The sequence below is a fragment of the Homo sapiens genome, chromosome 19 (assembly GCF_000001405.40).
Source record: "Homo sapiens chromosome 19, GRCh38.p14 Primary Assembly".
Taxonomy (NCBI): Eukaryota; Metazoa; Chordata; class Mammalia; order Primates; family Hominidae; genus Homo; species Homo sapiens.
This window is the reverse complement of record NC_000019.10, coordinates 14,227,995-14,252,036: the sequence shown is the minus strand read 5'-3', so window position 1 is coordinate 14,252,036 and position 24,042 is coordinate 14,227,995. Positions and strand designations below refer to the sequence as shown.

At 50.9% G+C, this 24,042-nt stretch overlaps 3 annotated features.

Moving 5' to 3' along the window:
- Positions 1,768–2,285: an enhancer, noted in NCBI's record as "H3K27ac-H3K4me1 hESC enhancer chr19:14360564-14361081 (GRCh37/hg19 assembly coordinates)". NCBI's record gives its function as "activates a minimal SCP1, AML or CMV promoter by ChIP-STARR-seq in naive H9 embryonic stem cells {active_cell/tissue: H9 hESC(naive)}" and the evidence as "EXISTENCE:reporter gene assay evidence [ECO:0000049][PMID:30033119]".
- Positions 3,612–3,661: a silencer, noted in NCBI's record as "silent region_10241". NCBI's record gives its function as "represses an Ori minimal core promoter by ATAC-STARR-seq in GM12878 lymphoblastoid cells {active_cell/tissue: GM12878}" and the evidence as "EXISTENCE:reporter gene assay evidence [ECO:0000049][PMID:35858748]".
- Positions 3,762–3,821: a silencer, noted in NCBI's record as "silent region_10240". NCBI's record gives its function as "represses an Ori minimal core promoter by ATAC-STARR-seq in GM12878 lymphoblastoid cells {active_cell/tissue: GM12878}" and the evidence as "EXISTENCE:reporter gene assay evidence [ECO:0000049][PMID:35858748]".

The following is a 24,042-nucleotide window of genomic DNA, read 5'->3' as shown; positions in this document are numbered from 1 at the left end:
AGGTATACACTATCACACCCAGCTAATTTTTTTGTAATTTTTGTAGAGACAGGGTCTCGCTTTGTTGTCCAGGCTGCTCTTGAACCCCTGGTTCAAACTATCCTCCTGCCTTGGCCTCCCAACATGCTGGGGTTACAGGCGTGAGCCACTGTGCCCAGCATCTTGGTTTATTGAATGCTGGTGACCTGCCAAGAACTTTACATCACTTATATCCTTACATAGTCACAACGTTATTTATTTAATTCACTCAGTCAACACATATTTGAAAATCTAGTAGGTGCCAGGTATTGTGGGACACACCGAGAATAAGAGTCAAGGTTTATAAATTTTGGCCAGGTGCGGTGGCTCACACCTGTAATCCCAGCACTTTGGGAGGCCGAGATGAACAGATCACTTGAGGCCGAGACAAACAGATCACTTGAGGTCAGGAGTTCAAGACCAGCCTGGCCAACATGGTGAAAACCTGTCTCTATTAAAAATACAAAGATTAGCCGGGAATGGTGGCACCTGCCTATTGTCCCAGCTACTTGGGAGGCTGAGGCAGGAGAATCACTTGAACACGGTGGAGGTTACAGTGAGCCGAGATCACGCTGCTGCACCCCAGCCTGGGTGATAGAGTGAGACACCATCTCAAAAAAGAAAGAAACAGCTTGGCTCAGTGGCTCATGCCTGTAATCCCAGCACTTTGAGAGGCTGAGGCGGGCGGATCACCTGAGGTCAGGAGTTCAAGACCACCCTGGCCAACATGGTGAAACCCTGTCTCTACTAAAATCACAAAATTTAGCTGAGTGTACAGCCATGCCTGTAATCCCACCTACTGGGGAGGCTGAGGCAGGAGAATCGCAGAGGTTGCAATGAGCCAAGATCGTGCCTTTGCACTCCAGCCTGGGTGTTCAGAGCGAGACTCTGTCAAAAAAAACAAAAAAGGAAGGAAGCAAGAAAGGAAGGAAGGAGGGAGGGAAAAAGGAAGGAAGGAAAAGAGAGAGAGAGAGAGAGATGTTATTCCAGGAGGGAATGGTCATGAAAACAAATAAGTAAGCGATATCAGAGAGTTAATGGAGATTGACTAGGGGTGGTGACATGGAGCTGAGGCGTGAAGAAGAAGGCAGAGCTGGTTGGCCATGTGAGATCTAGGGGGAAGGGTGTTGCAGGAAGTGGGAACAACCAGTGCAAAGGCTCAGTGTAGCTGGAGTGGACTTAGCGATGGAGAGAGGAATCCCAAGGAGGTTGAGTGAGGGATTTCGGTCTTAATCTAAGAGCCATGGCGGTGCATTGCAGCGTTCTCAATAGAAGGAAAACGTGAACTTCCTTGTCTTTTCAAAGATACCTCTGGGCTGTGGTAAGGACGGATGGAGGCCAGGGCAGAAGCCAGGAGCCTGTGGCCAAGGCAACCTCAGTAAATCCAGGCAAGTGATGAAGGAGTTGGGAAGCACAAAAGTGGAAAGAAGTGGGTGAATTCACGTTCTCTTTTTTTTTTTTTTTTAGGGACAGGGTCTTGCTCTGTTGCCCAGGCTGGAGTGCAGTGGTGCGACCTCCGCTCACTGCAACCTCCGCCTCCCGGTTCAAGGGATTCTCGTGCCTCAGCCTCCCGAGTAGCTGGGATGACAGGCATGCACCACCACACCGGCTAATTTTTGTACTTTTTTTTTTTTTAGTAGAGACAGGGTTTCGCCATGTTGGCCAGGCTGGTCTTGAACTCCTGACCTCAAGTGATCCACCTGCCTTGGCCTCCCAAAGTGCTGGGATTACAGGTGTGAGCCACTGTGCCTGGCCCTTGACTAATTTTTTCAAAAAAATTTTTTTTTTAATTTGAGACAGGGGTTTCGCTATGTTGCCCAGGCTGGTCTCCAACTCCTTGCCTCAAGTGATCCTCCCACCTCAGCCTCAGGTTCTTTGAACATAATTATTCCCAAATTACAAGTAGAGAGAACTGAATCTCAGAGAGGTTAAGTAATTTGCCTAAGGTCACACAGCTATGAAATGGAGAAAGGGTAAGAAAATCCGTCTGACCTTCCTTCAGTTATGCAAAAGATGTCATGTGGTGGGTGGTGTGACCTCAGAAAACCTAGAGGAGTGGGGGGTCCAGGCTGGTGGTGGGGTAATAAGACCCAAGTGAACACACCTGTCCTGCTGGGGTAACTACTCACCCCTAGGCCACAGGGCAAGCAAAGTGGCAAGCCGCAAATTGAATTGGGGGGCTGGAGGGGGATGTTTCATTGATGTCACAAATGAGCATGGACCCCGTATCTGCAGCAGGGATGTTTCAGGGCCAGTCAAGGAGATGATCGGGGCCCACGGACCCTCAAACGCGTCAGGAAGCCAGGCTGGTCCCTGAGTGTGTGTGATGGGGTGTGTGTTTGTGGGGGGGCACTGCCGGGAGCTGCCGCCGCCCGCCCCATTAGCAACACCGTCATTATCCCAGATTTATGTATGTATAATTCTTCTTCCTCAAACCGCTCCAACATCTCCCCTGGCTGCAAACCCGCCTCCCCCGGAAACAGCCACGGAGCCGCCTGCCACCGGGCCATTAGCACGCAGGGAAGGGGGTGTGGAGGGAGGGGGCAGGCAGCAGGGAAGGGGAAGGGGGGAGCCAGGAGAGGACGAGGAAGGCAGGAGCTGTAAGGATGGGAGTGAGGCGGCAAGATGGAAGAGGGGAAGGAAACAGGGCTTGGAGGAGCTGGGGAACCTCGGAGGGTTCTGGGGGGAGGGGGGGACACGTGTCCCAGAGGACCTGGCCGCAGACAGCGGGCCCCAGGGGCAGCCGAGGGTCTCCTGCGCCCTTTCTGGCCAATGCCAGGGCTGAGAATAGGGGGGTGGGGATCCCATCGGCCGGGACTCTGTGGCTGGGTCTCAGCCCAGAAGTTACTAGAGGGCCTCGCGCCGGAACCCCTCCCCCACTCTGGGAACCTCCACCTGCGGGGTGGGGTGGGGGTCTCCAGGCGGGGCGCGGGGAGGGCGCCGGCTGCAGAGCTGGGAGCCCGGAGCGATGACTCCATCACCCTCCACTTTTCCCTCCTCGCCCCCGAAACTGGCCCCCTCCCTTCTTGCGCCCCTCGGGTTGGGGGCGCGGGAGAGCCCCCTCTATTACGAGGGAAATCAATGCCGCATTAATGCAAGGTTTCCAGGCGAGGAGCGGGGATCGCTTCATAAAAGATGCATTGTTTCCATGGCCTGCACGCGGCTCCCTCCCCAGCATCCTGCAAGATGGCGGCGGCCCCAGGGAGAGAGGGGGAGGGGCTGGGGGGAGCGCGGCCCCCTCTCTCCTGCTGGGGAAGGTGGGAAGAGAGGCTGGGATGAAGGAAGGAAAGGGAGAGAGGGAGAGAGAGAGGGAGGGAGGAGGGGGCTGGGAGGCTGAGAGAGCGTTAGGGAGGCGGGAGCCAGTCAGAAGGAGGAGGGCGGGCTGGGGAGGGGGAGAGGGGATGGCCTGGAACTCGGAGGAGGGAAGAGAAACGCAGCCCAAGGAGGTGGCACGGGGGAGGCAGGAGAGCAGGCCGGGGGGTTGGGAGTGGGGGGCGCTGGGGCCTGGAGGGGGGCAGGCGGGGGTGGGGGCAAAAGGGGAGGGAAAGGGGAGAAAAAGGCCGACCGGGCAGCGTGGCCAGGAGAGAGGGGAAGACAGTACCCCCTCAACTGTCTCTAGGCTCCAAGCCCCCCTCCAGCGGGGTCCTTTGGTTCTCTCTCCTGGTCCCCGTGCACCCTCCCGCCGAGGAGATGATCCAGGGAGCCCCCATTTTCTGGCATGGAGGCCGCTGCACCCCATTGGCTTGCCTCCCTACCCTCCTTCCTGCCTTGGCACCACGGCTGCCATGCTGAGAGGGATCAAGCCTCCTCCATCTGCCTCCCTAGTCAAGGCCTCCGGAGTTGACCCGAAAGAGCTCCTTAGGAAGAAACTGCCGTTTGGGCACACCTGCATCCGTCCTACCTGCTGGGGACGGTTCCAGAAACCAGACAGAGGTTCCAGAGAGGGAAACTGGGGCAGAGGACAGCCGAGAACTCAACACGGGTCTCCACCTGCCCAGCGCCCCACCAGTGACCCCAGACCAACCTCAGCCCCCCTCCTCCCCGCCTTTTCCTCCATCCTCCGCGGGCAACCACGAAGAGAGTTTCAAGGCCCCCCACTTCCCAGCCTTCCTGCTTCGCCGTAGGGGAGCTCCCAAACGCCTGAAAATACCTTTAAATTAGGAAAAAGAGCTAAGCCGCCAGAGTCCTTTGGTCTATTAAAGGAAGAGCAGAGGCCACCGGCGCCCCCACCCCATCCCCAGCCCGATTTTGCATTTGAAGCCCTGACCGCGGATCTAGCCGGAACAATGACGGGGCCTGCCCAGCCGGCCCCAGCTGAATCCCTTTCAGTGGCCCTGGGCCCCCTGCCAGGTGTGCCAAAATTAGGACGGCTCCCCTCCTAGGCCCTTTTCATCCCCCCGGGGCTGCTGGGGCCTCAGAGGCGCTAATGAAGCGCCTCTTGCCGCCTTCCCTCTAGGAAGAGGGGGCCAGGGGGAGCGGGAGGCAGGGCCACATTGGGGGCAGGCACCTGGAAATCTGCCTTCCAAGAACTGCCCCAGGAACATGTTTTTGTGCCTTGGTCAGCGGCAGCTCCCTCCCTCCCTGCTCCTCAGGGTCCTCCCGCAGGTCCTGGTGACATCCACCTCCTCCAGGCAGCCCTCCCAGCCTGCTGGCATTGGCTCCCTACTGTGTTTCCCTTGGAGTTCGGCAGTGGGGGCAGGCTGCCTGGATTCAGATTGGAGCTCCATTGCTTTCTGGCTGTGGCTCAATTAGCCACCCTGAGCCTCAGTTTCCCCGCCCGTCAAGAGAGGAGAATTATAAAAACCTATGTCATGAGACTGTTGTGAAGGAGTCGCTGTGTGAAGAATTGTGGAAGGTCACACGTGCAAAGTGGGTGCAATAATCCCTAGACTTTCGCCTCAGCCACAGGGGGCCCCTCACTGCACCCCAGACACACCCAGTGTGTGCCCATTTCTGGGACTTCCCACTGGCTGTTCTCTTTATTTTATTTGTATTTGTATTTTTTCTTTTGAGGCGGAGTCTTGCTCTGTAGCCCAGGTTGGAGTGCAGTGGTGCAATCTCGGCTCACTGCAACCTCCACCTCCTGGGTTCAAGCAGCTTCCTGAGTAGCTGGGATTACCGGCGCATGCCACCATGCCCAGCTAATTTTTGTATTTTTAGTAGATACCGGATTTCACCATGTTGGCCAGGCTGGTCTAGAACTCCTGACCTCAGGTGATCCACCTGCCTCGGTCTTCCAAAGCGCTGGGATTACAGGCATGAGCCACCGCGCCGGCCTTTTTTTTTTGAGACGGAGTCTTGCTCTGTCGCCCAGGCTGAAGTGCGGTGGCCTGATCTCGGCTCACTGCAAGCTCCGCCTCCCGGGTTCACGGCATTCTCCTGCCTCGACCTCCCGAGTAGCTGAGACTACAGGCGCCCGCCACCATGCCCGGCTAATTTTTTGTATTTTTAGTATTGACTGGGTTTCACTGTGTTAGCCAGGATGGTCTCGATCTCCTAACCTCGTGATCCGCCCGCCTCGGCCTCCCAAAGTGCTGGGATTACAGGCGTGAGCCACCGCCCCTGGCCTTTTTTTTTTTTGAGATGGAGTCTCGCTCTGTCACCCAGGCTAGAGCACAGTGGTGTGATCTCACTGCAACCTCCGCCTCTTGGGTTCAAGCGATTCTCCCACCTCAGCCTCACAAGTAGCTGGGACCACAGGCACATGCCACCACACCTGGCTAATTTTTGTATTTTTAATACAGACAGGGTTTCACCATGTTGGCCAGGCTAGTCTCAAACTCCTGACCTCAGGTGATCCGCCTACCTCTGCCTCCCAAAGTGCTGGGATTACAAGTGTGAGCCACCTTGCCAGGCCTAGTGGTCCCTGTTATTTACCATCATCTGTCTTACAGCCAGCTGACATTGTATTACTTACCTGAACTCAGGGTCTTATGCTCTCGAATCCAAGAACCTGGGTTCAAATCCCGGCTTCACAGTTATTAGCTGTGTGACATTGGGCATGTTACTTAACTTCTCCGAGCCCCTTTCCTCATTTATAAAATGAGGATGGTAATAAAACCCACCTGGAGCCGGGTGCAGTGTCCGGAGTCTGTAATCCCAGCCACTCAGGAGCCCAAGGTAGGAGGGTCCCTTTAGGCCAAGAGTTTGAGACCAGCCTGGGCAACATAGCAAGACCCTGTCTCTACCAAAAAAAAAAAAAAAAAAAAAAAAAAAAGCCAGGCACAATGGCTTACACCTGTAGTCTCTAAAAAAAAATCTGCAAGGCGGGGTGTGGTGGCTCACGCCTGTAATCCCAGCACTTTGGGAGGCTGAGGCAGGCGGATCACGAGGTCAGGAGATCGAGACCATCCTGGCTAACAAGGGGAAACCCCATCTCTACTAAAAATACAAAAAATTAGCCGGGCATGGTGGCGGGCGCCTGTAGTCCCAGCTACTCGGGAGGCTGAGGCAGGAGAATGGCATGAACCCAGGAGGCGGAGCTTGCAGTGAGCCGAGATCGCGCCACTGCACTCCAGCCTGGGCAACAGAGCGAGACTCCATCTCAAAAAAAAAAAAAAAAAAAAGAATCCACAAAAACAAAAAACCCACCTTATATAGCGGGTAATGAATAATTGACTTAGTGAATGAGAAGTCCTCAAAGCAGTGCCTGGACCACAGTACAAGTTATTCCCATAACCAATATTATTTCTGAGCCACCCCATCCCTCAGCAACTAGAATATAAGCCCTCCTGAAAGCTAACTCTGCAGGGATGGTATTGGCTTTATTTATTTATTTATTTAAGAGTTGAGGTCTTGGCCGGGCGTAGTGGCTCATGCCTGTAATCCCAACACTTTGGGAGGCCAAGGTGGGCAGATCACTGAGGTCAGGAGTTTGAGACCGCCTGGCCAACATGGTGAAACCCTGTCTCTACTAAAAATACAAAAACTTAGCTGGGCGTGGTGGCGTGTACCTGTAATCCCAGCTACTCGGGAGGCTAAGGCAGGAAAATCGCTTGAACCCAGGAGGCAGAGGTTGCAGTGAGCTGAGATCACACCACTGGACTCCAGCCTGGATGACAGAGTGAAACTCCATCTCAGGGGGAAAAAAAAAAGAATTTGCCTTGAAGGCTGGGTGCAGTGGCTCACGCCTGTAATCCCAACACTTTGGGAGGCCGAGGTGGGCAGATCTCCTGAGGTCAAGAGTTCAAGACCAGTCTGGTCAACATGGTGAAACTCCACCTCTACTAAAAATACAAAAATTAGCCGGGCATGGTGGTGTGCACCTGTAATCCCAGCTACTCATGAGGCTGAGACAGGAGAATTGCTTGAACCTGGGAGGCAGAGGTTGTAGTGAACCGAGATCGTGCCATTGCACTCCATCCTGGGCAACAAGAGCAAAACTTCATCTCAAAAAAAAAAAAGGAATAATTTGCCGTGAGTCTGTAGCATAGTGCTTAGTCCTTAGCGGGCACTCAATATACTTCATCCAGATTCAGAGGCAGGGAGAATTGTGGGAGACACAGTTTGTCAAATTCACACCTATCTCTTTCCTTTGCTAACACAGGGCTCCTTAAGTGTCAGTGTGCCCTGCCTAATCCTTGCCCTCCAGCCCCCCTTGCTTCTATTTTATTTATTTATGTGTTTATGTATTTTTTTTGTCTTCCAGCCCCTCTTCCAGCTCCCCTTGCCATTATTCCAGCCTTCAAGTCCCGCTTGCTTCTATTTTATTTATTTATTTATTTATTTATTTATTTTTGGGGACAGAGTCTCACTCTGTTACCCAGGCTGGAGGACAGTGGTGCAATCTCAGCTCACTGCAACCTCCGCCTCCCAGGTTCAAGCTACTCTCCTACCTCAGCCTCCCGAGTAGCTGGGATTACAGGCACCCACCACCATGCCCGGCTAATTTTTTGTATTTTTAGTAGAGACGGGGTTTCGTCATGTTGGCCAGGCTGATCTCAAACTCCTGACCTCAAGTGATCCGCCTACCTCAGCCTCCCAACTCCCTTCCTTCTAGAGATGGCTGTGTGACACTCTTCCGGCCAATAAGACTCCAGCAGAAGTCTTCTGGGTGGTTCCAGGAAGAATGAGCATGTTATTATCCAAGACTCAGTGGCTTCATCTATAAAATGGGGCTAAAAATTGCAACTTGCCTCAGGTCTCGAACTCCTGACCTCAAGTGATCCGCCCGCCTCAGCCTCCCAAAGTGCTGGGATTACGGGCGTGAGCCACTGCGCCCAGCCAATACGACCAGTGTCTTGGTAAGAAGAGAATAGACACAAGTACACGAGGGAGAGTCCATGTGATGGAGGAGGCAGAGACTGGATGATGCAGAGATTGGAGAGATGCATCATCTACAAGCCAAGGAGCACCCAGCATTGCTGGCCACCACCAATGCCCGCTGGCCAGGCAGGGGCAAGGAAGGAGTCTCCCTTGCAAGTTTCAGAGGGAACATGGTCCTGTCAACACCTTGATTCCAGGCTTCTGGCCTCCAGGTGTGGAAGAGAATAAATCTCTGTTGCTTTAAGCCACCCAATGGGTAGCACTTCCTTACAGCAGCCTGGGAGACTAACAAGGAGGGTTGAAAGCAGCAAGATTTCTTGCAAAGGCTCCTTCGGACTTCCAGGCTGTGTGACCTGCGGCAAGTCATTTACCCACTTTGGCATTTTTTTTTTTTTTTTTTTAGATGATGTCTCGCTCTGTCACCAGGCTGAAGTGCAGTGGCGCGATCTCGGCTCACTGCAACCTCCGACTACCTGGTTCAAGCGATTCTCCTGCCTCAGCCTCCCGAGTAGCTGGGATTACAGGCACACAACACCACACCCAGCTAATTTTTTATTTGTAGTAGAGACGGGGTTTCACCATGTTGGCCAGGATGGTCTCGATCTCCTGACCTGGTGATCCACCCACCTTGGCCTCCCAAAGTGCTGGGATTACAGGCATGAGCCACTGCGCCCGGCCTTTTTTTTTTTTTTTTTTTAAGAGACAAGGCCTCATTCCGTCACCCAGGCTAACAATCTCCCAGGCTCAAGGAATCCTCCTGCCTCAGCCTCTGGAGTAGCTGAGACTACAGGTGTGTGCCACCACATCCAGCTAATTTTTTGTTATTTTTTAAGAGATTGGGTCTCGCTATGTTGCCCAAGCTGGTCTTGAAGCAATCCTCAAGCAATCCTCCCACTTTGGCCTGCTGAAATGGTGGGATTACAGGCATGAGCCACCATGCCCTGCCCCAGTCTGGCCTTTGTGTGTTTAGCTGGCTCAGAATACAAAGATGGGCCAGCTGTGGTGGCTTACGCCTATAATCTTAGCACTTTGGGGGGCCAAGGCAGGCGGATCACTTGAGGTCAGGAGTTCAAGACCAGCCTGGCCAACATGGTGAAACCCCGTCTCTACTAAAAATACAAAAATTAGCCAGGCATGGTGACAGGCACTTGTAATCTCATATACTCAGGAGGCTGAGGCAGGAGAATTGCCGGAAAGGCAGAGGTTGCAGTGAACCAACATCTCACCACTGCACTCCAGCCTGTACGACAGAGCAAGACTCTGTCTCAAAACAAACAACAATCCAAAAAAAAAAAAACAAAAACCAACAAAGACGAACAAAAAGAGTCCTTCCTGCCTTTCCAAATCTCTCCCAGGCAGAGTTAACACATCCCAGGTGCTCTTACACAGGGTTGAGTAGTTCCTGTGGATTTCAGTTGAGTGATACCTGCCTTGACTCCCCTGCTACGCTAGACCCTATCTCTGAGGACAAGAAATGGGCCTGTTCATCAGCGCAGCTGAGAAAGACCAAACCACCTTCTGTTCTCTTCTTTTCTTTTTTTTTTTTTGAGACGGAGTTTTGCTCTTGTTTCCCAGGCCGGAGTACAATGGCGCGATCTTGATTCACCACAACCTCTGCCTCCTGGGTTCAAGCGATTCTCCTGCCTCAGCCTCCTGAGTAGCTGGGATTACAGGCATGTGCCACCACGCCCGGCTAATTTTGTATTTTTAGTAGAAACAGGGTTTCTCCATGGTGGTCAGGCTGGTCTGAAACTCCTGACCTCTGGTGATCCGCCTGCCTGGCCTCCCAAAGTGCTAGGATTACAGGTGTGCGCCACCGTGCCCGGCCTTGAAGACCAAACCACCTTCTGGATAAAGCCAAGAGATGTAAACCTGCCAGGGTCTCTGGGCACTTGGAAACGCCCATCTGTTTGGAAGTGAGAGAATTAACACATTGGATGCATAAGCTGAATGTCAATGAAGACCCCAGGGCTGGTATAGAAACTGCGTGGGTTCAAATCCCAGCCCTGGGGTCAGCAGTAGCTCATGCCTGTAATCCCAGGACTTTAGGAGACTGAAGCGGGCAAGTCACTTGGGGTCAGGAGTTCAAGACCAGCCTGGCCAACATGGTGAAACCCCGTTTCTACTAAAAATACAAAAATCATTTGGGAGGCCGAGGTGGGCAGATCACAAGGTCACGAGATTGAGACCATCCTGGCCAACATGGTGAAACCCCCGTCTCTACTAAAATACAAAAAATTAGTCGGGTGTGGTGGCATGCGCCTATAGTCCCAGCTACTTGGGAAGCTGAGGCAGGAGAATTGCTTGAACCCAGGAGGCGGAGGTTGCAGTGGGCCAAGATCGCGCCACTGCACTCCAGCCTGGTGACAGAGCAAAACTCCATCTCAAAAAAAAAAAAAAAGAAAAAAAGCCAGGCGTGGTGGTTCATGCCTGTAATCTCAGCATTTTGGGAGCCAAGGCGGGCAGATCTCCTGAGGTTGGGAGTTCGAGACCAGGCTGACCAACATGGAGAAACCCTGTCTCTACTAAAAATATAAAAAATTAGCTGGGCATGTTGGCGCATGCCTGTAATCCCAGCTACTCGGGAGGCTGAGGCAGGAGAATCACAGGAACCTGGGAGGCGGAGGTTGCAGTGAGCCGAGATCGCGCCACTGCACTCCAGCCTGGGCAACAAGAGTGAAACTCTGACTCAAAACAAAAGAAAACAAACAAACAAAAAATCAGCCAGGCATGGTGGTGCACACCTGTAATCCCAGCTACTTGAGAGGCTGGGGCACGAGAATCGCTTGAACCCGGGAGGTGGAGGTTGCAGTGAGCTGAGATAGCACCACTGCACTCCAGCCTGGGTGACAGGGCAAGACTCCGTCTCAAACAACAAAAAAAACCTACAAATCCCAGCCCTGCCTGGCATTGACTGAGTCACCTTAGGTAAGTGGTTTTGCTGGTCTGTGCCTCTGTTTCTCTGGCTATAATATAGGTACAATGACAGTAGGGTCATTTCAAGGATTAAATGAGAAAAATGCCTGTTGGATACTCAGAGGTCAGGTACATACAGTAAGTGCTTAATGAGTGCTGGTCCCATGCATGAATGGAAGCACTGGGTGAGCATGTGCTTAAGGAAGAAGTGCAGGAGGCCGGATGCAGTGGCTCACGCCTGTAATCCCAGCACTTTAGGAGGTGGAGGTGGGAGGATCGCTTGAGGCTAGGGGTTCGAGACCACATCTTTACAAAAAATTTAAAATTAGGCCAGGCACAGTTGCTGACACCTGTAATCCCAACACTTTGGGAAGCTGAGGCAGGCAGATCACTTGAGGCCAGGAGTTCGAGACCAGCCTGGCCAACGTGGCAAAACCCCATCTCTACTAAAAATACAAAAATTAGCCATGTGGGGTGGTGCATACCTGTAATCCCAGCTACTTGGGAGGCTAAGCAGGAGAATCACTTGAACCCGGGAGATGGAGGTAACAGTGAGGCAAGATCACACCACTGTACTCACTGCCTGGGCGACACACTGCCTGGGCGACAGAGTGAGTGAGACTCCATTTCAAAAAAAAAAAAAATTAGCTGAGCACAGTGGCACGCACCTGTAGTTCCAGCTGCTGTGGAGGCTAAGGCAGGAGACTCATTTAAGCCCAGGAGGTTGAGGCTGCAGTAAGCTATGATTGCACCACTTCACTCCCTTCTGGGCAACAAAATGACACGCTGTCTCTAAAATAAAGAATTAAAAAGCCTACCTTGGCTGAGCAGATCCACCTGGATAGAGCTTGATAGGGAGGAGAGATCTTTGCTACAATTCAGATGACAGACAAGAATGACTTGTCCCAGGCTGGTGGCAGTGCAGGTGAGGAAGGCTCTATGGGCTCAGGGTGGGTTTTGGAGTTGGAGTGGACAGGGCTGGCTAATGGATTGGATGTGAGGGATGACAGAAAGAGGGGAGTCTACAGTGATGGGGTACAGATGGGTTACTATCCGGGTGCAGTCGCTCACGCCTGTAATCTCAGCACTTTGGGAGGCCAAGGCGGCCGGATCATGAGGTCAGGAGTTCAGGACCAGCCTGACCAACATGGTTAAACCCCGTCTCTACTAAAAATACAAAAATGAGCCGGGCATGGTGGTGCGCACCTGTAATCCCAGCTACTCAGGAGGCTGAGGCAGGATAATCGCTTGAACCTGGGAGGCAGAAGTTGCAATGAGCCGAGATTGCACGTGGTGGTTCATCCCTATAATCCTAGCACTTTGGGGGGCCAAGGGAGGTGGATCGCTTGAGCTCAATAGTTGTAGACAGGCCTGGGCAACATGGTGAAACCTGATCTCTACAAAAAATACTAAAATTAGATGGGCATGGTGGTGTGTGCCTGTAGTCCCAGCTACTTGGGAGGCTGAGGTGGGAGGAACACCTGACCCCAGTAGGTTGAGGCTGCAGTGAGCCATGATCATGCCACTGCACTCCAGCCTGGATGACAAAGTGAGTCCCTGTTTCCAAAAAAGAAAGAAAAAGAACAGAGAGTGAATGGTGGTTACCAGGGGCTAGAGTGGAGGGACTGGGGAGATGTTAGTCAAAGGCTATACACTTTCAGTTAGACAGGAATACAGTCAAGAGATGTCTTCTACAGTATGGTGACTATAGCTAATAACAATGTATCGTATACTTGAAAATCACTGAGAGAGATTTTAAGTGTTCTTGTCACACACAAAAATAGGCATGTGAGGTAATATATATGTTAATTCACTCCATTTAGCCATTCTGAAATGTATATGTACTTCAAAACATCATGTCATACACCATAAATACGTACAATTTTAATTTGTCAATTAAATAAATTTTAGGCCAGTGCAGTGACTCACCTCTATAATCCCAGCACTTTGGGAGGCTGAAGTAGGTGGATCACTTGAGGCCAGAAGTTTGAGACCAGCCTGGCCAACATGGTGAAACCCCATCTCTATTAAAAATACAAAATCTAGCCGGGCATGGTGGCATGGGCCTGTAGTTTCAGCTACTCAGGAGGCTGAATAGGAGAATCACTTGAACTCAGGAGGCGGAGGTTGTAGTGAGCCGAGATTGCACCACTGCACTCCAGCCTAGGTGACAGAGTGAGACTCCATCTCAAAACAAAACTAAACTAAACTAAACAAAAAATTAGCCAGGTGTGGTGGCATGCACCTATAGTCCCAGCTACTTGGGAAACTGAGGTAGAAGGATCCCTTGAGCCCAGGAGTTCAATACTGCAGGGAGCTATTGATCGCACCACTGCACTCCAGCCTGGACAGCAGAGTGAGACCCTATCTCTATTTTTTAATTAATTAATTAACTAACAACAACAAAAAGCAAATGGGCATGGATGCATCTCAATTAAAAAGAAATAGTTGGTGACTGAGGCCATGATCTCATCTGAAAGCTCGACTGGGGAGGATCCACTTTCAAGCTCATGAGTTGTTGGCAGGATCAGTTGCCCACTGGCTGTTGGTCAGAGGCCTCTTCTGGTTCCTGGCCTTGTGACCCTCTCCGATGGGCAGCTCACAGCCTGGCAGTTGGCTTCCCTCAGAGTGAGCAGAAGAGAGGGCAAGAAAGGGAGTGCATCCAGCTGGGCACAATGGTTCACGCCTGTAATCCCAGCACTTTGGGAGGCTGAGGTGGGTGGGTGAGGTCTGGAGTCCAAAACCAGCCTGACCAACATGGTGAAACCCCATCTCTAGTAAAAATAAAAAATTAGCTGGGCATAATGGCCCATGCCTGTAATCCCAGCTACTTGGGAGGCTGAGGCAGGAGAATCACTTGAACCGGGAGGTGGAGGTTGCAGTGAGCAGAGATTGCACCATTGCACTCCAGCCTGGACGACAGAGCAAGACTCCATCTCCAAAAAAAAAAAAAAAAGGGAGTGCACCCAAGATGAAAGGCGTGGTCTTTTTTGTGACCTAATTTTAGAAGTGACATTGCATCGATTTTGCCACATTCTATGGGCAGGAAGCAAGTCATAGAGTCTAACCACACTCAAGGGTAGGGCATTAATGCAAGGGTTGGAACATTGAGGGCCATCTTAGAGGCTGTCCCTACACCATGCACGTCAATCCAGTGGCTTCATACCACCTGTACCTGTGACTCTTTGCCTGACAGCTTTGCTCTGGTGCATGCAGGCAGCCAGAAGTTCTGGAGAATTCATTTTCCCTGCTAGCATACCTCAACTAACAATGGCTGGGAGTTGGAGGATAAATACCCCAGCTCCCTCACCCTTTGCATAAGATAACTCTCAGGGTTTGTCCAAGATGAGTTAAGACCTAGATATCGCAGAATAACCTGCTCATTTCCACATGATGTACTGGCTGCCCTCCCTTCTGCATCTCATCTCCTCCATCCCCTGCCAGCACTCCCTGCAATCACCTTACAGATAAACCACTTTTACTCAAATCAGAGTGTCTCAGGTACACTTCTGAAGCACCCAACTGTATTAGTTTTCTAGTGCTGCTGCAATAAATTACCACAAACTTGGTGGTTTGAAGCAACATAAGTTTGTTATTCTCTTACAGTTCTGCAGGCTCAAAGTCCAAAGTCAAGGTGTTGGCAGGGCTGGGCTCCCTTTGAAGGTTCTAGGGAAGAATCCTTCCTTGTCTCTCTCCTAGATTTTGGTAGCTCCTTGTAATCCTTGGTGTTCCTCAACTCAAAGCTGCATCATTCCAGTCATTCCATGGAGAGGCTTCCATGGTCTCTGTGTGTCTCTGTGTCCTCTCCTCTTCTTAGATGGACACTTGTCATTGGATTTAGGGCTCATTCTAGTCCAGTAAGACTTCATCTTTTTTTTTTTTTTTTTAAGAGACAGGGTCTTACTCTGTCACTCAGGCTGGAGTGCAGTGGCACAATCATGGCTCACTGCAGCCTCCAATTTTTGGGCTCAAGCAATCCTCCCATCTTGGCCTCCTAAGTAGCTGGGACTACAAGTGTGTGCCACATGCCTGGCTAATTTTTTAAAATTTTTGGCTGGGTGTGGTGGCTCACAACTGTAATCCCAGCATTTTGGGAGGCTGAGGAGAGTGGATCATTTGAGCTGAGGAGTTAGAGACCAGCTTGGCCAACATGGTGAAACTTCATCTCTACTAAAAATACAAAATTAGCTGGGCGTGGTGGTGCATGCCTATAATCCCATGTACTTGGGAGGCTGAGGCAAGAGAATCACTTGAACCCAAGAGGCGGAGGTTGCAATGAGGAGAGATCGTGCCACTGCACTCTAGCCCGGGCTGCAGAGTGAGACTCTGTCTCAAAAAACAAAACAAAACAAAAAGCCCAGGTGTGGTGGCTCACACCTGTAATCCCAGCACTTTGGGAGGTCAAGGCGGGCGGATCACGAGGTCAGGAGATTGAGACCGTCCTGGTTAACATGGTGAAACCCCATCTCTACTAAAAATACAAAAACAACAACAACAAAAAAAAACATTAGCCAGGCGTGGTGGCGGGCGCCTGTAGTCCCAGCTACTTAGGAGGCTGAGGCAGGAGAATGGCGTGAACCTGGAAGATGGAGCTTGCAGTGAGCCGAGATCGTGCCACTGGACTCCAGCCTGGGTGACAGAGCGAGACTCAGTCTCAAAAAAAAAAAAAATTTTTATTTTTGTAGAGACAAGGTTTCATTATGTTGCCCAGGCTGGTGTCAAACCCCTGGCCTCAAGTGATCCTCCCACCTCAGCGTCTTGCATAGCTGGGAATACAGGCTCAAGCCACAGTGCTGGGCTAGTAAGATCTTATTTTAACTTAACTAATGACATCTGCAAAGATGCTATTTCCAAATATGGTCACATTCTGAGGCTCCAGGTAAACATGAATTTTGTCAGGGGAGGAAGACACTATTCCAGCTCCTGCACCAATAGAGGACGATGATGTGTCATTAACTGATTTGGGGAGGACACAGGAGGGGGGAGGACAGAGGAGGGGGGAGGACAGAGGAGGCGGAGGACAGAGGAGGGGGGAGGACAGAGGAGGGGGGAGGACAGAGGGGCGGGGAGGACAGAGGAGGGGAGGACAGAGGAGCGGGGAGGACAGAGGAGCAGGGAGGACAGAGGAGCGGGGAGGACAGAGGAGGAAACAGGTCTGGAGTGTGATGAAGAGTCTGCTTCCGGTGTGATACTTGGGTGTGCCCACTGGGTTTCCAGCAGAGACATCTGGGGGGCAGGTGAAGGTCAGCAGAGAGGTGAGAGGTGGGGGACGCCACTGGGAGCTGTCGGGTGTAAGTGGCATTTATTTATTTATTTATTTATTTATTTATTTATTTATTTATTTATTTTTGAGATGGAGTTTCACTCTTGTTGCCCAGGCTGGAGTGCAGTGGCGAGATCTCAGCTCACTGCAACCTCCACCTTCCGGTTTCAAGTGATTCTCCTGCCTCAGCCTCCTGAGTAGCTGGGATTACAGGTGCCTGCCACTATGCCCGACTACCTTTTGTGTTTTTAGTAGAGATGGGGTTTCACCATGTTGGCCAGGCTGGTCTCAAACTCCTAACCTCGGCCTCCCAAACTGCTGGGATTACAGTGAGCCACCACGCTCAGCCCAGCATTTATTTTATTTTTATTTATTAATTGTTTTCTTTTTTTTTTCTTTTTAGACAGAGTCTCGCTCTGTTGCCCAGGCAGGAGGGCAGTGGTGCAATCTTGCCTCACTGCAAGCTTTGCCTTCCGGGTTCACGCCATTCTCCTGCCTCAGCCTCCCGAGTAGCTGGGACTACAGGTGCCCGCCACCACACCTGGCAAATTTTTTGTATTTTTAGTAGAGACGGGGTTTCACCATCTTGGCCAGGCTGGTCTCGAACTCCTGACCTCGTGATCTGCCCGCCTGGACCTTCCAAAGTTCTGGGATTACATGCGTGAGCCACTGTGCCCAGCCTATTTTATTTTATTTTAATCATTTTTTTCTTGAGACAGAGTCTCGCTCTGTCGCCCAGGCTGGTGAGCAATGATCCGATCTTGGCTCTTGGCTTTCTCTTCAAGGCTAAGATTGGGAGATGAAGAGGAATCACAGAAGAGACTAAGAAGTGGTGGCCTTGGAGGTGGGAGGGGAAGCTGGGAGTGCACAGTCCTAGAGGCTGAGAAACGACCATCAGGTTGGGCAGGATGGAGCCCTTCTAGTGGCCGAGTGGGAACAAAATACTGAAAGGAGAGGATCAGAGAGAGGACGAGAGAAGAGCAGCCGGACCCAGTGATAACTCTTGGGATGTTTTGCTAGGAAAGGGAATGTATTCTAGTCCTCTCTTTGCATCCTGTAGGATTGGTTCCAGGACCTCCCTGGATACCAAAATCCACAGATGCTCAAGTTTCTTTTATAAAACAGCATAGTATTTGCATATCACCTATGCACATCCTGCTGTATATATACATACATGTGTATATATGCTGTATACATGTATGTATATATACACATATATGTATATGTATACATATGTGTGGCTAGAGTGCAGTGGCGCGATCTTGGCTCACTGCAACCTCCACCTCCCGGCTTCAAGTGATTCTCAGGCCTCAGCCTCCCGAGTAGCGAAGATTACAGGCACGTGCCACCATGACTGGCTAATTTTTTTGTATTTTTAGTAGAGACGGGGTTTCACCATGTTGGCCAAGCTAGTCTTGAACTCCTGGCCACAAGTGATCCGCCTCCCTCATTTTTATTTTTTAATTTTTATCATTTTCTGAATCCGGGCTGCAGAGAATGTATTTTTTTTTACTGTTGTGATATTTTTAACCATAAAGATAATTGTTAAAATAATAAAATAATTAAACATAGGCCGGGCACGGTGGCTCACGCCTGTAATCCCAACACATTGGGAGGCCGAGGCAGCGGATCACGAGGTCAGGAGATCAAGAGGTCAGGAGATCAAGACCATTCTGGCTAACATGGTGAAACCCCGTCTCTACTAAAAATACAAATAAATAAATAAATAAATAAATAGCCGGGCATGGTGGCACATGCCTGTAGTCCCAGCTACTCGGGAGGCTGAGGCAGGAGAATCACTTGAATCCGGGAGGTGGAGGTTGCAGTGAGCTGAGATTGTGCCATTGCACTCCAGCCTGGGTGACAGAGCGAGACTCCATCTAAAAAAAAAAAGAAAATAATAATAATAATACAAAAAATTAGCCAGGCGTGGTGGCGGGTGCCTGTAGTCCCAGCTACTCAGGAGGCTGAGGCAGGAGAATGGCGTGAACCTGGGAGGCGGAGCTTGCAGTGAGCCAAGATCGCACCACTGCACTCCAGCCTGGGCGACAGAGTGAGACTCTGTCTCAAAACTAAATAAATAAATAATAATAATAATTTAAAATAATAAAAATGATAAATAGATAAAATATGGTTTGTTTTGTTTGTTTGTTTGTTTGTTTGTTTGGATAGAGTCTTGCTTTATCACCCAGGCTGGATTGCAGTGGTGCAATCATCACTCAGTGCAACCTCAACCTCCCAGGCTGAAGCAATTCTCCTGCCTTGGCCTCTCGAGTAGCTGGGACCACAGGTGTGCGCCACCCACTGGACTTATTTTGTTAATGTTTTTTGTAGAGATGGGGGTCTTGCTACTTTGCCCAGGCTGCTCTCCAACTCCTGGGCTCCAACAACCCGCCCACCTCAGCCTCCCAAATTCTTGGGACTATAGACATGAGCCAGCATGGCTAGCCAGGGTTTTTGTTGTTGTTTTTTGTTTTTCTTTTTGTTTTTTTTAGACAGGATCTCACTCTGTTGCCCAGGCTGGAGTGCAATGGCATGATCTTGGCTCACTGCAACCTCCACCTCCCAGGTTCAAGCGACTCTCCTGCCTCAGCCTCCTAAGTAGCTGGGACTACAGGTGTCTGCCACCACGCCCAGCTAATTTTTTTCTATCTTTAGTAGAGACAGGGTTTCACCATGTTGGCCAGGCTGGTCTCAAACTCCTGACCTCAAGTGATCTGCCTGCCTCACCCTCCCAAAGTGCTAGGATTAGGGTTTTTTTCCCTAATGTTTTCCATTCACAGTTTGTTGAATCCTGGATAAGGAACCCGTGGCTATGGAGGGCCAACTATAATATTTCCTGTGACTGTTGTAACCAATGCCCACAAACTAGGTGGCTTCAGGACAGCAGAAAACAAAACAATACGACTATTATATATCAATAAAATATAATTTCAAAACAAAAACAAAAAAAACACATTTATTTTCTTACAGTTCTGGATCCCTTAAGTCCCAAATCAGTATCATTAGCCCCAAGTCAAGGTGGCCCTCTGGAGGCTCTAGGGGAGGATCCTTTCTGCCTCTTCAAGCCTCTGGTGGCTCCCAGCATTCCTTGGCTTGTGGCTGCATCACTCCAGTTTCTGCCACCATTGTCACATGGACTTTTTCCCTGTGTCTCTGTGTCTGGTTCCCTTTTTTTCTTTTTCGTTTCCTTTTTTTTTAAATTTTTTTGAGACGGAATCTCGCTCTGTCACCCAGCCTAGACTGAAGCGGTACAATCATGGCTCACTGCAGCCTCGACCTCCTAGGCTCAAGGGATCCTCCCACCTCAGCCTCCTGAGTAGCTGGGACTACAGGCACACACCACCAAGCCCCACTAATTTTTAAAAACTTTTTTCTAAAGACAGGGGTCTCACTATGTTGCTCAGGCTGATCTCAAACTCCTGGGCTCAAGTGATCCTCCCAACTCAGCCTCCCAAGGCTCTGGGATTACAGGTGTGAGTCACGGTGGCCTCTCCATTCTTTTCTGATGACATTTTTTCTTTCTTTCTTTTTTTTTTCCCTCTGGCTCTGTGACCCATGCTGGAATGCAGTGGCATGATCTTGGCTCACTGCAGCCTCTGCCTCCCCAACTCAAGTGATCTGATCTTCCCACCTCAGTCTTTCAGGTAGTTGGGACTACGGACGCCCGCCACCACACCTGGCTAATTTTTGTATTTTTAGTAGAGACGGGGTTTCACCACGTTGGTCAGGCTGGTCTTAAACTCCTGACCTTCGGTGATCCACCTGCCTCAGCCTCCCAAAGTGCTGGGATTACAGGCGTGAGCCACCGCACCCGGCCAGGACACTTATTAATAGATTTAGAGCCCATTCTAATTCAGGATGATCTCATGTCAGGATTCTTCACATAAATACAACTTCAAAGACCCTTTGTCCAAATAAGATCACACGTACAGGCTCTGGGGGTTAGGATATGAATGTACATTTTTGGAGGACTGTCATTCAACCAACTGTAGGGAGTAAACGGATGGGGCTGGGGTGGGGAGATGACTTGGCAAGCCAAGTGCTTTGGTGTGAATGTTTGTGTCCCCCCAAATTTATATGTTGAAATCTTTTTTATCTTTTTTTTTTTTTTTTTTTGAGATGGAGTCTCATCACCCTGTTGCTCAGGCTGGAGTGCAGTGGCGCAATCTCGGCTCACTGCAAACTCCACCTCCTGAGTTCCAGTGATTCTCCAGCTTCAGCCTCCGGAGTAGCTGGGATTACAGGCGCCCACCACCATACCTGGCTGATTTTTGCATTTTTAGTAGGGATGGGGTTTTTGGTATGTTGCCCAGGCTGGTCTTAAACTCCTGAGCTCAAAGCAATCTGCTCACTTTGGCCTCCTAAAGTGCTGGGATTACAGGTGTGCACCACCATGCCTGGCCAATATATGTTGAAATCTTAACCCCCCAGGTCGTGGTGTTAAGAATTGGGGCCTATGGGAGATGAGGAGGGTGGAGACCTCGTGAATGGGACCTGTGCCTTCACACAAGAGGCTGGAGAGAGACCTCATGCCCTGTGAGATGAGAGGGCGAGAACGCTAACATCTTTGTCTATAAAAAGAGCCTGGCTGGGTGTGGTGGCTCATGCCTGTAATCCCAGCACTTTGGGAGGCCAAGGCAGGCAGATCACCTGAGGCCAGGAGTTTGAGACCAGCAAGTTCACCCATAGTGAAACCCTGTCTCTACTAAAAATACAAAAATTAACTGGCATGGTGGTGCATGCCTGTAATCCTATCTACTAGGGAGGTTGAGGCGGGAGAATCACTTGAACCCTGGAGGCGGAGGCTGCAGTAAGCCGAGATCACGCCACTGCACTCCAGCCTGGGCAACAGAGTGAGACCCTGTCTCAAAAAAAAAAAAAAAAAAGAAAAAAAAAAGTCTCAATGCCGGAGGAATGGAAGACTCTGCTCAGGAACAAGACAAAAGTCCTCAAGTCTCTGGCCACTCCCCACGCCATTCCCCAGGACCCCAGCATCCCCCGCCCCCACTATCCTTGGCTCCATGACTGTTCTCCCAGGTCAGAGCCCACATCACACTCTTTCAACCTCCAGAAGTTTGCCCAGGAAGTCTCTCCACCTGACTGGCCTTCCCTCCCACAACTCCCTCTGTCTGCCTATCCTTAAAGTAGCAGCCAGGGTGACCCTTCTGAAGGGGGTTTGGGTTATGCCAAGATCTCTTCTTCCCTCCCCTCCCCTCCCCTCCCCTTCCCTTTCCTTCCTTTCTCTTCTGACAGAGTCTCACTCTGTCCCTCAGGCTGAAATGCAGTGGCACAATCTCGGCTCACTCCAACCCCCGCCTCCCAGGTTCAAGGAATTCTCCTGCCTCCTCCTGAGTAGGTGGGATTACAGGCATGAGCCACCACCCCTGGCTAATTTTTGTATTTTTAGTAGAGACGGGGTTTCACCATGTTGGCCAGTTTGGTCTCGAACTCCTGGCCTCAAGTGATCCACCCACTTCGGCCACCCAAAGTTCTGGGATTACAGGCATGAACCACCATGCCCAGCCTTCTTTTCTTTTTGAGATGGGATCTTTTTCTGTGGCCCAGGCTGGAGTACAATGGCATGATCATAGCTCACTGCAGCCTCAAATTCTTAGGTCCAAGTGATCCTCTTGCCTCAGCCTCCCAAGTAGCTGGGACTAGAAGGCATGTGCCACCACGCCCAGCTAATTTTTAAATTTTTTTTTAGAGTTGGTGGTCTTGCTATGTTGTCCAGGCTGGTCCCAAACTCCTGGCCTCAAGCGATCCTCCTGCCTCAGCCTCCCAAAGTGCTGGGATTGTAGCTGTGAGCCACCATGCTCAGCCCAGCCCTGCCAAGATCCGTTTTCCATTCCCGTGGCACTCAACAGTCTCCTCAGAGCAGTTTCCACAATTGTAATTACCTAGTTTGGCAGAGTGATGTCTTAATGTTGCTCTCTCTGCTTCTAGAATGTGAGCCCCCAGAGAGGTCAGGGCCTGGGAGATTTATTCATTTACATATCCCACGCACCTAGTCAGGCATAGCACACAGTTAGTGCTTAATATATGTGCCCAGGAGGTTTGCAAATGAATCCCTTTCGGCCAGGCACGGCGGCTCACGCCTGTAATCCCAGCACTTTGGGAGGCCAAGGTGAGTAGATCACTTGAGGTCAGGAGTTCAAGATCAGCCCGGCCAATATGGCGAAACTCTGTCTCTACTTAAAATACAAAACTTAGCCAGGCATGCTGGCGGGCGCCTGTAATCCCAGCTACTCAGGAGGTTGAGGCAGAAGAATCGCTTGAACCAGGGAGGTGGAGATTGCAGTGAGCCGGGATTGCACCACTGCACTCCAGCCTGGGCAATAGAGCAAGACTCAGTCTCAAAAAAAAAAAAAAAAAAAAAAAAAAAAAGGAATCCCTTTTGTCCAGGCAAGTGGGATGCACTGGTTCTCTGACCAGCAATTCCCCAATTCCCCAACTGGACGGGTCACTTGGTGTCCCAGTGGAATATTCGGGAATCTTCTCTAAGGCAACAGGACACACACACACACACACACACACGCACAATCACACACACACACACAAAATGAACCCCCCCTCCTCAATTTCTTTACCAACTATTTTTCCCCCCAGGCAGAAAATGAACCATTATTAAAACAACACGGCAACCGGCCGGGAAAACCCATTTACAGCGATTTATATCGCTTCGCTGCGGCTGCCGAGAGGAAATGGGAGGAGAAGCTCGAGGTTTAAGCACTGGGTGAAAAATCACATTCCATCAGAGGAAGAACAGATGGGTGTTTTTTTCCTCCCCTTTCTCCCCCTTGCTTGGGCTCGGAGTCAGGAATCTATGTCAGCCGTGGGTTTGTTCTTGGTGTGATAGGGTGATTCTGGGGAGACAGAGGCCCAGCCAGGCTGCTGGGTCCCAGGGAGCAAGCGGTGGCTTGTGAGCCACTGAGGACCCCCGCTCCCCATCCTCCATCCTCCTGCCCACCCGCTCTGTCTCCTGGGCCTGTAGGCTGCCGATCTGAGCCCCATCCCCCATCCTGCTATTTTAATTTTTACATTTTCTCATCACCCCCTGGAATTACCGTCTCTCCTTATTTCCTTCCTCCTTCACAGTCTTTTTCCTTGAAGGCAGGGCCATGTCTGTCCTGTTCGTCGTTGCATCCTTAGTGCATTGAACACATAGCAGTGGCTCCCATATCTGCAGACAACCACTAACCCTCTGCCACGGTCCCACCATCACGGCTGCCATCCTATCCTAACCTTACTAAGGACACCTTCCCCCTCTCCCCGGCGGCTGTGAGCGCGCTGGAAGACGGGGGCTGTTTAGTTTGTTTCCTTCATGGATGGATCTACTGTCCCTCCACCCCCAAAGAAAGCCTGATTCACAGCTTTCTGGGTGTTGGGATTGGGGGATGGGGACAGACAGGCATGACTGAGTCATTCAGCTGTTTAAAAGCTATCACTGACTTCTTCAAAATTGAAAAATGTTATCGTGGCTCCAAAGGTCCTTTCCAACCTAGACCCAAAACACCTGTTCAGTTTAAACCACGCCCCCTCCACCGCGCCAGCCCCGACAAACATGCTGGCACCCG